The sequence below is a fragment of the Homo sapiens genome, chromosome 5 (assembly GCF_000001405.40).
Source record: "Homo sapiens chromosome 5, GRCh38.p14 Primary Assembly".
NCBI lineage: Eukaryota > Metazoa > Chordata > Mammalia > Primates > Hominidae > Homo > Homo sapiens.
Genome location: NC_000005.10, coordinates 162271231 through 162285618, shown reverse-complemented (window position 1 = coordinate 162285618; position 14388 = coordinate 162271231). Strand labels below are relative to the sequence as shown.

General features: G+C 41.7%; 2 annotated features.

Moving 5' to 3' along the window:
- Positions 9566–10280: an enhancer, noted in NCBI's record as "OCT4-NANOG-H3K27ac hESC enhancer chr5:161702345-161703059 (GRCh37/hg19 assembly coordinates)". NCBI's record gives its function as "activates a minimal SCP1, AML or CMV promoter by ChIP-STARR-seq in primed H9 embryonic stem cells {active_cell/tissue: H9 hESC(primed)}" and the evidence as "EXISTENCE:reporter gene assay evidence [ECO:0000049][PMID:30033119]".
- Positions 10281–10996: an enhancer, noted in NCBI's record as "OCT4-NANOG-H3K27ac hESC enhancer chr5:161701629-161702344 (GRCh37/hg19 assembly coordinates)". NCBI's record gives its function as "activates a minimal SCP1, AML or CMV promoter by ChIP-STARR-seq in primed H9 embryonic stem cells {active_cell/tissue: H9 hESC(primed)}" and the evidence as "EXISTENCE:reporter gene assay evidence [ECO:0000049][PMID:30033119]".

Genomic DNA, 14388 nt, shown 5'->3' with positions numbered 1-14388 from the left:
CTGTCCCTCTGTAACTCACTGGTACTGCATCTCAAGCACCCACCTCTTTGTGAGGGGCAGAGAACAACCAGAAGACAGCAATGTTCACATGACCAGTATCTTCTGTCTGGTAAAATATTTGGTACACAATATTTTAAAGAAAACAGGGCTGGGCGCGGTGGCTCAAGCCTGTAATCCCAGCACTTCGGGAGGCCGAGGCGGGTGGATCACGAGGTCAGGAGATCGAGACCATCCTGGCTAACATGGTGAAACCCTGTCTCTACTAAAAAAAAAAAAAAAAAAAAAATACAAAAATTAGCCAAGTGTGGTGGCAAGTGCCTGTAATCCCAGCTACTCAGGAGGCTAAGGCAGGAGAATGGCGTGAACTGGGAGGCAGAGCTTGCAGTGAGCCGAGATGGTGCCACTAAACTCCAGCCTGTGCGACAGAGCGAGACTCCTTCTCAAAAAAAAAAAAAAAAAAGAAAACAAGGATCAGTCTTGGAACAAGGCCCAATTCAGGTAAGACACTGGCCAGAATAATTACAAAATACATTCGTCATTAATTTGTAAATTTCCCTTTTCCTGACTCCCTGAACAAATAATATAACTAATATAAATATGGGCAAATAAAATGGATTTTTTGTAATTTTGTTCAGCTCTTAAACATGTTGAAATGTTCTGAAGTTACGAATTTTCAGTTATTTCACTTGCTCCTCAATCCCATGAGGTCCTACCTGTGCTATTCAAAAGCCATCCCTCCATGGCAATCACTACCAATGCTTTTACATTCTCAGCTGACTGTGAAGATCAACATGGTCTTTTTAAGATAACTATGGCCTATAATCAGAAACACTGTCTCTAAGAAACAGTAGACGCAAGACTTCATTTGTCTTCTCTCATTCCAAAAACATCTGGTCCTCCAGGATGATGTAGTAATACCAGGACAGGTATTAATAATGACCAGTCCTCTCATAACAAGATTTTGTGAGAAGAAGACTCAGATTCTCTTCCCTTCCTCCAGTTTTAACACCCAGAGCCTCCATGACCCAATCACCTCTTAAAGGTCCAATCTCTCTATGCTGCCACATTGGGGAGTAAATGTCAATGTGAGTTTTGGCAGGGGACAAAGAGTAAACCACAGCATTGGGTAATTTATAAAAAACAAAAATGTATTTCTTATAGTTCTAAATCTGGGAAGTCCAAGATCAAGGTATTGGCATTCGGTGTCTGGGGAAAACAGAAAGGGACCTTGCTAGTTTCCTCCAGCCCTTTTATAAGGTTACTAATCCTATTCATGACAGCAGAACTCTCGTGGCCTGATCACTTTCTTAAAGTCCCACCTCTTAATATTTTTGCATCGGGGATCAAGTTTCAATATGAATTTTGGAGCAGACAAAAACGTTCAAACCATAGCAATAAGGAAACCCATGATACCTAAAACCCAGTGTCTCCAGATGAGACCTCTTGGGTTTCTCCTTTATGGTAGCCACTATTGGAGGACTGCCTAATGTCCTAACTCCTCCTCTTTTCTCAAAACAACCTTAATATTTTGGAGAGCAGAGAGCACCTGGGGAAGGAGCAAACAAACAAACAAGCCCCTAAATTTTCCAGCTGTCTTGCAGTCTCTTTTGGGTTTAAATCAGCTCCTCTGACACTGCTTATGCTGCATTTGAAATAATGGTTGCCTGGAATTGCTAAATTCTGCAGTGTGCCATATAGAGTCCCAAACTGGATGAAAGTAAATCCTTCCTAGACTTACTCATTTCTCTGTGCTTATCCAATACACATTCTCTTCACACACTAAAGCCTGTTGCCTAGAGATTAGAACCCATGAGTCTTTTTTCTTTCACTCTTGCCTAGCAATGTTTACTCTCCCTGTCATCCTACTGCCCAGAAGGGATGGGCTTCAAGAATTTCTCTCCTTCGTATTCTTCTCCTACCTTTCAATAGCAGCACAATCCAGTAATCATAGACAAAAGAGTATCTTCATTCTACTAAGAAATAAACTCTTATTGGATATCTACTCATTCTTTGATATGCTCAAATGAACTAGAAAATTATCTTCTTGCTCAGAATCCAAGCTTTTGGTTTTGCTGCGAAATCATATTTTAGTGTCAGAAGAAAAACATTAACTATTTCTCTTTTTACTATTGTGAATATTAATATGACAATTTAATTCCCAAACCTCAACTCAACCCTACTCTGGGCTCACCAGGGAGGGTATCATGTCCATGGAAAGAAATGTGAAGGCAAAATTCACAACGATGTATTTTAAAATATCACCCTGACTACATAGAAGATTCTTCCTGCTTCCATCAAGAATGTCCTGAGAGACCAGGTGCGGTGGCTCATGCCTATAATCTCAACACACTTTGGGAGACCGAGGCGGGTAGATTACTTGAGGTCAGGGGTTCGAGACCAGTCTGGCCAACATGGTGAAACCACATCTCTATTAAAAATTTAAAAAAAAAAAATTAGCCAGGCATGGTGGCAAGCCCCTGTAATCCCAGCTACTCTAGAGGCTGAGGCAGGAGAATTACTTGAACCCAGGAGGCGGAGATTGCAGTGAGCCGAGATCAGGCTGCTGCAGTCCAGCCTGGGCGACAGAGTGAGACTCTGTCTCAAAAAAAGAATGTCCTGAGAATAGGAGAATTTATTATGTAAAGTTACTCTTTCCAGGCAGTATATAGGCAGATCTTTAAAAAGGAGATACAGGTGGGGAGAATATGATGGGCATATGAAGTTTACTATGTATGTTTTTAATGTGACCTAAAGTAGACAAGGGAGTAGAGAATCCATAAACCCAGAAGCGTTCACATTGTGTGCAAGATTTTTGTGGTTATGATTTGAATTCTCACCAGAGCATGTCAAACTATGAGAAGCCTGGAATTTTTTCATATATATACATGTATATACATCTATTTGAGAGTTGGTAATTAATCAAGGGGTCTCTAGTGGCAAGGTCAGTGTAGAGGTTAGAGATTGTATTGGAAGGGGTCAGGATATCCCTGAGGAGGACTGAAGCAGAACAGCTGACATTCAGGCAGTTAAAAGACTTTGCTTACTTCACAATAGGAAACTGAGCCAACTCTGCACCAAACTCTGGAATTCTGTGCAGTAACCTTCCTTGTGGTGTGAGAATGTTATCAGCATCAAGATTCTTTCCCCAAAGAAATTGGAGCCAAGGGACAATCTGATAAGAAATGGAGAATGCAAGCCCCTTGGGTTGGCAGGAGCAGATAATTTGCATCTAATTTTCTACCAGAGCTAATTAAGCCCTCTCACTTGCTGCATTTCTCTTCAGCGCCCTTCTTTCTCAGAACTATGGTGCCTGTTGAGCCTGAAGCTTGAAGGTTGTGCTGTAGATGTTGCTTATCTTTATAGAGGAGTCCCTTTCCCCCTTGAAGTTAATGGAGTAAGTTAGGTTCCAATAGTACTAGGAATTTGTATGTGAGAGATTCCATTTCCAAGGGTGAAGCTTCTCTCCAAGATACAGCTATTTTAAGGAGTATGTGGCAAGAATACATATTAAAGGCAAATTTTATGCATAACTAAGGTTTATTGAATGATTATTAAATATATGCTATTTCATGCATAAAATGGGAATAAAACTTAAAATGTATATGTAATAAACACTGTACTAAGAGTTTCACAATCATTATTTTATTTAACCCTCATGACCATCCCATGATATAGGAATTTTCACTGCTTAACACTGTAGGAACAAGTTCGGTTAGGAATTTGCATCTTGAATTCAACCCCAAATCAGGGTGAGCTCAGAGGCAGTGCTGTATCCATTACACTATTTATTCTTGGAATAATTTTATGTTAAACTCCCTTTCTCTGTGTTCTCTTTAATCTTAGATGGAGTGTCTGTTTCTCCCTTTCACTTTCCAGCTTATGATAAATAGGGGTACAGGAATTAGTAAATCTACCCCATCAAGCCCCATTGAAATATATGCATATATATATTACATATATAACACAATAGTTATATATAATAGTTATATATATGTATATATATATAACAATTACAATTTTAGGAGCAAGAAGTGAGAAAAACCACAGCTACAAAAACAAACACTATTTTATTTCTTCAGTATGATCCAACTCATTCATTATCGTGATGCTAAGGCCTTCCCAGATATTTAATCTTCAATGATTATATTAGATTCCTCAGAACTTAAGTATAAGACAATTATGATTTTCAATCATAATTATTGGAAGATTTTTATAATTATCTCTTTAATATCCATATAATCTAATTATCATACTTCATTTCTAAACCATATCAGAAAATTAAAGTCTTACTGTATATGATTTGAACAATATGCTTAAAAGTCTTTCCTGTTTCTTCAACTAAAATAGCTATGTAGTACACGGAAACAACTACATGTGTGGAGATATAGATAAGTAATGTATGTGTGTGTGTGTGTGTGTGTAATAATGATCAATTCCAGCTACAGAGTCCTTCATATCTGTCAGGCCTCTGAGCCCAAGCTAAGCCATCATATCCCCTGTGACCTGCAGGTACACATCCAGATGGCTGGTTCCTGCCTTAACTGATGACATTCCACCACAAAGAAGTGAAAATGGCCTGTTCCTGCCTTAACTGATGACACTGTCTTGTGAAATTCCTTCTCCTGGCTCATCCTGGCTCAAAAGCTCCCCTGCTGAGCACCTTGTGACCCCCACTCCAGCCCTCCAGAGAACAACCCCCTTTGACTGTAATTTTCCTTTATCCACCCAAATCCTATAAAATGGCCCCACCCTTATCTCCCTTCGCTGACTCTCTTTTCGGACTCAGCCCGCCTGCACCCAGGTGAAATAAACAGCCATGTTGCTCACACAAAGCCTGTTTGGTGGTCTCTTCACACAGACGCGCATGAAATTTGGTGCAGTGACTCGGATCGGGGGACCTCCCTTGGGAGATCAATCCCCTGTCCTCCTGCTCTTTGCTCGGTGAGAAAGATCCACCTACGACCTCAGGTCCCCAGACTGACCAGCCCAAGAAACATCTCACCAATTTCAAATCCGGTAAGCGGCCTCTTTTTACTCTGTTCTCCAACCTCCCTCACTATCCCTCAACCTCTTTCTCCTTTCAATCTTGGCACCACATTTCAATCTCTCCCTTCTTTTAATTTCAATTCCTCTCATTTTCTGGTAGAGACAAAGGAGACACATTTTATCTGTGGACCCAAAACTCTGGTGCCGGTCACGGACTAGGGAAGGCAGCCTTCCCTTGGTGTTTAATCATTACGGGGACGCCTCTCTGATTCTTCACCCAGGTTTCAGAGGTGTCAGAGCACGCAGGGATGCCTGCCTTGGTCCTTCACCCTTAGTGGCAAGTCCTGCTTTTCTGGGGAAGGGGCAAGTACCCCAACCCCTTCTCTCCATGTCTCTACCCCTTCTCCACCTTTCTGGTGGGCAAGAAACCCCCAACCACTTCTCCTTCACCCTTAGTGGCAAGTCCCGCTTTTCTGGGGGAGGGGTAAGTACCCCAACCTCGTATCTCTGCGCCCCAATCCCTTATTTCCGCACCCCGACCTCTTATATCTCTGCGCCCTGATCCCTTATTTCCGTGCCCCAACCTCTTATATCTCTGCGCCCCAATCCCTTAGTTCCGTGCCCCAACCTCTATCTCTGCACCCCGATCCCTTATTTCTGTGCCCCAACCTCGTATTTCTGCACCCCAACCCCTTCTCTGCTTTTCTGGAGGGCAAGAACCCCTCACCCCTTCTCCGTGTCTCTACTCTTTTCTCTGGGCTTGCCTCCTTCACTATGGGCAAGCTTCCACCTTCCATTCCTCCTCCTTCTCCCTTAGCCTGTGTTCTTAAGAACTTAAAACCTCTTCAACTCTCACCTGACCTAAAATCTAAGCATCTTATTTTCTTCTGCAATGCCACTTGACCCCGATACAAACTTGACAGTAGTTCCAAATAGCCGGAAAATGGCACTTTCAATTTTTTCATCCTACAAGATCTAAATAATTCTTGTCGTAAAATGGGCAAATGGTCTGAGATGCCTGACGTCCAGGCATTCTTTTACACATCGGTCCCTCTCTAGTCTCTGTTCCCAATGCAACTCATCCCAAATCTTCCTTCTTTCTCTCCCGCCTGTCCCCTCAGTCCCAACCCCAAGCGTTGCTGAGTCTTTCTAATCTTCCTTTTCTATAGACCCATCTGACCTCTCCCCTCCTCCCCGGGCTGCTCCTCGCCAGGCTGAGCTAGTTCCCAATTCTTCCTCAGCCTCCGCTCCTCCACCCTATAATCTTTTTATCGCCTCCCCTCCTCACACCTGGTCTGGCTTACAGTTTTGTTCCGTGACTAGCCCTCCCCCACCTGCCCAGCAATTTACTCTTAAAAAGGTGGCTGGAGCTAAAGGCATAGTCAAGGTTAACACTCCTTTTTCTTTATCCCAAATCAGATACCATTTAGGCTCTTTTTCATCAAATATAAAAATCCAGCCCAGCTCATGGCTCGTTTGGCAGCAACCCTGAGACACTTTACAGCCCTAGACCCTAAAAGGTCAAAAGGCCGTCTTATGCTCAATATACATTTTATTACCCAATCTGCTCCCTACATTAAATAAAACTCCAAAAATTAAATTCCGGCCCTCAAACCCCACAACAGGATTTAATTAACCTCGCCTTCAAGGTGTACAATAATAGAAAAAAGTTGCAATTCCTTGCCTCCACTGTGAGACAAACCCCAGCCACATCTCCAGCACATAAGAACTTCCAAATGCCTGAACCGCAGGGGCCAGGCGTTCCTCCAGAACCTCCTCCCCCAGGAGCTTGCTACAAGTGCCAGAAATCTGACCACCAGGCCAAGGAATGCCTGCAGCCCAGGATTCCCCCATCTGTGCGGGATGCCACTGGAAATCGGACTGTTCAACTCACCTGGCAGCCACTCCCAGAGCCCCTGGAACTCTGGCCCAAGCCTCTCTCACTGACTCCTTCTCAGCTTAGTGGCTGAAGACTGACGCTGCCCGATCGCCTTGGAAGCCCCGTAGACCATCACGAACTCCGAGCTTCAGGTAACTCTCACAGTGGAGGGTAAGTCCGTCCCCTTCTTAATCAATACAGAGGCTACCCACTCCACATTACCTTCTTTTCAAGGGCCTGTTTCCCTTGCCTCCATAACTGTTGTGGGTATTGACGTCCAGGCTTCTAAACCTCTTAAAACTCCCCAACTCTGGTGCCAACTTAGACAATACTCTTTTATGCACTCTTTTTTAGTTTCCCCACCTGCCCAGTTCCCTTATTAGGCCGAGACACTTTAACTAAATTATCTGCTTCCCTGACTATTCCTGGGCTACAGCTGCATCTCATTGCTGCCCTTCTTCCCAATCCAAAGCCTCCTTTGCGTCCTCCTCTTGTATCCCCCCACCTTAACCCACAAGTATAAGATACCTCTACTCCCTCCTTGGCGACCGATCATGCACCCCTTACCATCTCATTAAAACCTAATCACCCTTACCCCACTCAATGCCAATATCCCATCCCACAGCATGCTTTGAAAGGATTAAAGCCTGTTATCACTCGCCTGCTACAGCATGGCCTTTTAAAGCCTATAAACTCTCCTTACAATTCCCCCATTTTACCTGTCCTAAAACCAGACAAGCCTTACAAGTTAGTTCAGGATCTATGCCTTATCAACCAAATTGTTTTGCCTATCCACCCCATGGTGCCAAACCCATATACTCTCCTATCCTCAATACCTCCCTCCACAATCCATTATTCTGTTCTGGATCTCAAACATGCTTTACTATTCCTTTGCACCCATCATCCCAGCCTCTCTTCGCTTTCACTTGGACTGACCCTGACACCCATCAGGCTCAGCAAATTACCTGGGCTGTACTGCCCCAAAGCTCCACAGACAGCCCCCATTACTTCAGTCAAGCCCAAATTTCTTCCTTATCTGTTACCTATCTCAGCATAATTCTCATAAAAACACACGTGCTCTCCCTGCTGATCGTGTCCGATTAATCTCCCAAACCTCAATCCCTTACAAACCAACAACTCCTTTCCTTCCTAGGCATGGTTAGTGTGGTCAGAATTCTTACACAAGAGCCAGGACAGCACCCTGTAGGCTTTCTGTTCAAACAACTTGACCTTACTGTTTTAGCCTAGCCATCATGTCTCTGTGCAGTGGCTGCTGCCACCCTAATACTTTTAGAGGCCCTCAAAATCACAAACTATGCTCAACTCACTCTCTATATTTCTCATAACTTCCAAAATCTATTTTCTTCCTCCCACCTGATGCATATACTTTCTGCTCCCTGGCTCCTTCAGCTGTACTCACTCTTTGTTAAGTCCCACAATTACCATTTTTCCTGGCCCGGACTTCAATCCGGCCTCCCACATTATTCCTGATACCACACCTGACCCCCATGACTGTATCTCTCTGATCCACCTGACATTCACCCCATTTCCCCATATTTCCTTCTTTCCTGTTCCTCACCCTGATCACGCTTGATTTATTGATGGCAGTTCCACCAGGCCTAATCGCCACACACCAGCAAAGGCAGGCTATGCTATAGTACAAGCCACTAGCCCGCCTCTTAGAACCTCTCATTTTCTTTCCATCGTGGAAATCTATCCTCAAGGAAATAGCTTCTCAGTGTTCCATCTGCTATTCTACTACTCCTCAGGGATTATTCAGGCCCCCTCCCTTCCCTACACATCAAGCTCGAGGATTTGCCCCCACCCAGGACTGGCAAATTAGCTTTACTCAACATGCCCCGAGTCAGATAACTAAAATACCTCTTAGTCTAGGTAGACACTTTCGCTGGATAGGTACAGGCCTTTCCTACAGGGTCTGAGAAGGCCACCGAAGTCATTTCTTCCCTTCTGTCAGACATAATTCCTCAGTTTAGCCTTCCCACCTCTATACAGTCTGATAACAGACCAGCCTTTATTAGTCAAATCAGCCAAGCACTTTTTCAGGCTCTTAGTATTCAGTGAAACCTTTATATCCCTTATAGTCCTCCATCTTCAGGAAAAGTAGAACGGACTAAAGGTCTTTTAAAAACACACATCACCAAGCTCAGCCACCAACTTAAAAAGGACTGGACAGTACTTTTACCACTTTCCCTTCTCAGAAGTCAGACCTGTCCTCAGAATGCTACAGGGTACAGCCCATTTGAGCTCCTGTATAGACGCTCCTTTTTATTAGGCCCCAGTCTCATTCCAGACACCAGAGCACCTTAGACTGTGCCCCCAAAAAACTTGTCATCCCTACTATCTTCTGTCTAGTCATACTCCTATTCACCATTCTCAACTACTCATACATGCCCTGCTTTTGTTTACACTGCCGGTTTACACTGTTTCTCCAAGCCATCACAGCTGATATCTCCTGGTGCCATCCCCAAACTGCCACTCTTAACTCTTGAAGTAAATAAATAATCTTTGCTTACAGGACTATGCTGAATTTCCTTAGGCACTCTAATTAGATGTCCTAGGTCCTCCCAATTCTTCAACCTTTAGTACCTGTTTTTCTCCTTCTCTTATTCCGTTTAGTTTTTCAATTCATACAAAACTGTATCCAGGCCATCACCAATAATTCTAAATGACAAATGTTTCTTCTAACAGTCCCACAATATCACCCCTTACCACAAAATCTTCCTTCAGCTTAATCTCTCCCACTCTAGGTTCCCACGCTGCCCCTAATCCCTCTCAAAGCAGCCCTGGGAAACATCGCCCATTATCTCTCCATACCACCCCCCAAAATTTTCACCATCTCAACACTTTACCACTATTTCATTTTATTTTTCTTATTAACATAAGAAGACAGGAATGTCAGGCCTCTGAGCCCAAGCTAAGCCATCATATCCCCTGTGACCTGCACGTACACATCCAGATGGCCAGTTCCTGCCTTAACTGATGACATTCCACCACAAAAGAAGTGAAAATGGCCTGTTCCTGCCTTAACTGATGACACTGTCTTGTGAAATTCCTTCTCCTGGCTCATCCTGGCTCAAAAGCTCCCCTGCTGAGCACCTTGTGACCCCCCACTCCAGCCCGCCAGAGAACAACCCCCTTTGACAGTAATTTTCCTTTATCCACCCAAATCCTATAAAATGGCCCCACCCTTATCTCCCTTAGCTGACTCTCTTTTCGGACTCAGCCCGCCTGCACCCAGGTGAAATAAACAGCCATGTTGCTCACACAAAGCCTGTTTGGTGGTCTCTTCACATGGACGTGAGTGAAAATATCTCAGCATAAATTTCACTTCTACTACTCACTTGCTATGTAAACTTTAAAAAATTACTTACTCTCTAAGCCTCACTTTCCTAACGCTGTCAGAGTTGCCAGAAAAATCAAATCAAATAACTGCATGAAAAGCACTAATCATAATGCCCAAGTCATGATAAGCAAACCCTGAATAGTTGCTGTTATTAATTATGATTATGTCCCTGGATTCACAGTTTGCTCAACTTATCCATCTTATTCCCATTATAAGAAGCTAGAAAGAAGTACAAACAATTCTGAACTTTTTGTTTGTTTCATGGTTGGTCGTATTTCCCCTCATTTCCTTTATTCATCATTACTTTTGGTACTGAGGGTTTAAAAAATTAAGTATGAGTGTATTCACCTTGTTATTTATTTTCTGTATTTTGACCTTTTGACATTTGGGGCCTTTCTATTCCAGCCCCTCCTGTGGTTTCTCTAGTTCCTAATTCCTAAAGAGAGTAAACAACTCCACCAAGAGTGAGCTTTTCAAATGCAAACCAACCAATCCAGAGTTCACACTTCAACAAATTCCCTTACTGGGCCCTCACACTCTGGGCCACTATCCCACTCTCTGCTTGGCTAATCATTCCAGGGCCAGGTGCCAGACAATTAGGGATAGCTCCTCTGGGCCCCAGAGCCCATGGCAATTAAATCTACTTACCAGCCTTCCCAGGGTCCTTCTTCTGGAAATCACTGTTAAGGCTCTTGCCCACACTTTCCACCCTCATCCCCACCCCCTGATAGACCCCAGTGCTGCCATGTGTGACCACTCTCAGTGTGAGTCTATTTCTTGGGATCTGTGAATAAAACCTGTGAGCCTATTTCTTGGAATCTGTGAATAAAACCAACTACCATTTCAACGGCAATTGTCTCTTAATCTGTTGGCCTTGCCATACCTGACTAATAATAGAATCTATATTTTGAAACACAAGTAATTCCAGAATAAATATAACTATAGCTCTATAGCTATCTCCTCCATTTGACTGTAGAGTTCTTGAGAACAGATTTGTCTACACTAACCAATTGATTCTAAGTAAATATTTTTGAATGAATGAATTTATTGCATATCTAAAATGCACAGACATAACTTTATTTGGGAGAAATATCTGCAGTTTTAAAAGTTAATGAATATATACTCATGAATGTCTAATCAGACTGTTCATATATATTTAAACAATCAAGCAAATTCCTATTAGGGAACATACAGTATGACTCTTCATTTTATTGTGAGAACTCCCATGTAGATGGGAAATTTCTCCTCTGCCCTCTTAGGGTCTCCAGCCGGGCCTACGACTTAAACTGAAATAATTCAGATGAATATGAGAAAAGTTTGCAAGTTTTATTAGGATAGTGCATGTATATGGGAGTCACAAGAAAATGAAGACCCAGAGAAGTGACAAGAGCAGAAAGTTTATATACCTTTTAGAAAAATGATTGATAAATTTGTGAAGAAATGGCTTGAAGAAGGGGTTTGGGCTAGGGGCAAAAAAAAATATAGGTGAGTCACTAAGAGATAGGTGCAGAAAACTAATGGAAAATATGGCTTTCTCACGAAATTTGTACAGATTCATTTCAGCATCCATTTTAATCTCTGATGATAAGGATGTTTCTCTCTCCCTGGTACTAGGAAGGCACTTTTCTCACGGGATGTGTTATGGCCTGTTTTTAAGTAGAAAGGGGAGGTCAAAAGGCCCTTCCTGCATCTGCTGTTTCTCATGTGCCTTCAGCTCAACATAATCAATATAGCAAAGTGGCATATTTTGGGATGGCATGTCCTAAACTTCTACACCAGCGGAGAAACTGTTTCCCAGAGGGCACAGTACTGGAACTCTGCAACACTGACAATGTAGGATAAAGAAAGGGCTCCAGGTTAGGTGTCCTGAAAGTTTTGATGGAGGACAGAAGACACATTATATTCTGTCAGCCCCCTAAGGCTGCTGGGAAGCTTTGTGAGTCTTGTTTCATACTAATGTGTGATTTTTAAAAAGTTTTTGGCTCAAACAATTTCCTTGTTATTAGAGAGCCTCTTTAACATGAGAGAAGTATTTCAAATGAGTGCTTGGCTCATGAGTACCAAGGAATTAGGCAGAGGATGGATGTTAGCTACCTTGTTGGAGTGTCAAGCAGTATGAAATAGCCTTCAGACCTACTTTTAGAGATTACTGAAACAGGGAACCCTTTAAAATACTAGAGAATAAATCCAATAGATCTTTTGGCTGTAACTAGCATCTGCTCTGGCAGGCTAAGAAATAATATAAAATAAACTTATTTTGCCCAGGTTAATTCTGTTTCTGCTCGGAAGTGCATTATTTACAACCTATACTCAATAAATGTATGTTTAGCACATTAATCAATGTTTAGATGCAATTCTTCTAGCAAAGTCACCTAGACAATCCTTGATTCATTAAGCTTTTCTTCCTATGAAATCAAAATGCTTTTGAAGAAGCCAAACCTACATGAGATACATTATTTTTTTAAAAGCTCACATATACATTAGAATGTTTTCATAATACTATAAAGTTCAATTAAAACAAGACTCTAGTATAGGAAAAAAATGTGAAGGGCTTCAAAATGGACCAAAAAGATTACTGAGTGTTCTGTCTAGTACTGTCTCCAGGTTATCCTTGCTTTTCAGTGTTTTTGAACTATTTTATAACCCTATAAATTATAGAAAACTAATAATTATATAAAAAGTCAATTTTATAACAATGAAAATAGTGTGCAATTGATTACTGCTCTGTGGAGACTGACCAGTTTTGCCAGTTTCGCATCTATTTAGCAAATTACTTCAGCATTCCTGAGGTAGCATTCCTACAGTCACCTTCCCTTTAGTCTTCCTTTGAGAATCTAAGGAAACATCTTATTGGTTTTCTTCTTGACTGAGTTGAATACAACTGTTGACATGTGGTCATTTTGTATCTATATGATTATACCCTCTTTTTTAAAAAAAATAAAAGTTTTTTTTTAACACTATTACTACAATAAACAAAGCAACCCAAAATCTCTTGAGAAACTTAGATAAATTAGAGAGCCAAATCCTACAGTACTCTTGCTTATGTAAATGGCTAATTTGTTGGAGGCATGATCTCTCCAAGAACTAACTCAGGAGTGTTTTCTACTAGTAAATAATGAAGGTTTTCTTTTTTTTCTTTTTCTTTTAATTCTTCCAAGAGAAGTTAATTGTTTCCTCAATAGTTTGTTTCTAAATGACTCTGGAAGTGAGTTCCTACAGCATCCCTCCCAGGCTGCTAGTAGCTTCTTTAGTGCTGCTTGAATCACTACCTTCCCACCATTTGAACAATTTCAGCATTTACCTTGCAGTTATTTTAGAGAATCCAACTTAAAAAAATACACTGCATGACATTGTTGTGTGCAGTATGGCCTTTTCTACTTAAAAACAGGCCATAACATATCCCAAGAGAAAGGTTCCCTCCTAGTACCAAGGAGAGAGAAACCCATCTTTATCATCAGAGATGGGAATGGATGCTAAAATGAATCTGTACACATTTCCTGAGATAGCCATATTTTCCGTTAGTTTTCTGCATCCATCTCTTAATGACTCACCCACAATTTTTTTGCCCCTAGCCCAAACCCCTTCTTCATGCCATTTCTTCACATATTTATCAATTATTTTTCTAAAAGGCACATAAGCTTTCTGCTGTGGTCACTTCTCTGGGTCTTCATTTTCTTGTGAGGACTCCCATGTATATGCACTATCCTAATAAAACTTGTATACTTTTCTCATGTTCATCCGAATTATTTCAGTTTAAGTCTTAGGCCCAGCTGGAGACCCTAAGAGGGCAGAGGAGAAACTTCCCATATACATGGGAGTTCTCACAAGAAAATGAAGAGTCATACTGTATGTCCCCTAGATTGTTCCCTAATAGGAATTTGCTTGGTTGTTTAAATATATCTAAAGCTTTACAGGTAAGACAAGAATTGCTAAATCAATTCCTTCAGTATGTTAGCTTTAGAGATGAAACATAGTTGTTTTTGTTTCTGCTTTTTATGGAGTTTTAAAATTGCTATTGTATTCCACTCAGTTGTGCTTGTTCAGGGTGACTATGATGATCACTAATGCTTTATTAAGTGGTACATTATTTGTTCAATGAAATTCCAAATCTCTTCCAAACAACTTCAAATCAGAGGTGCCTGACTATCTGGAACACTAA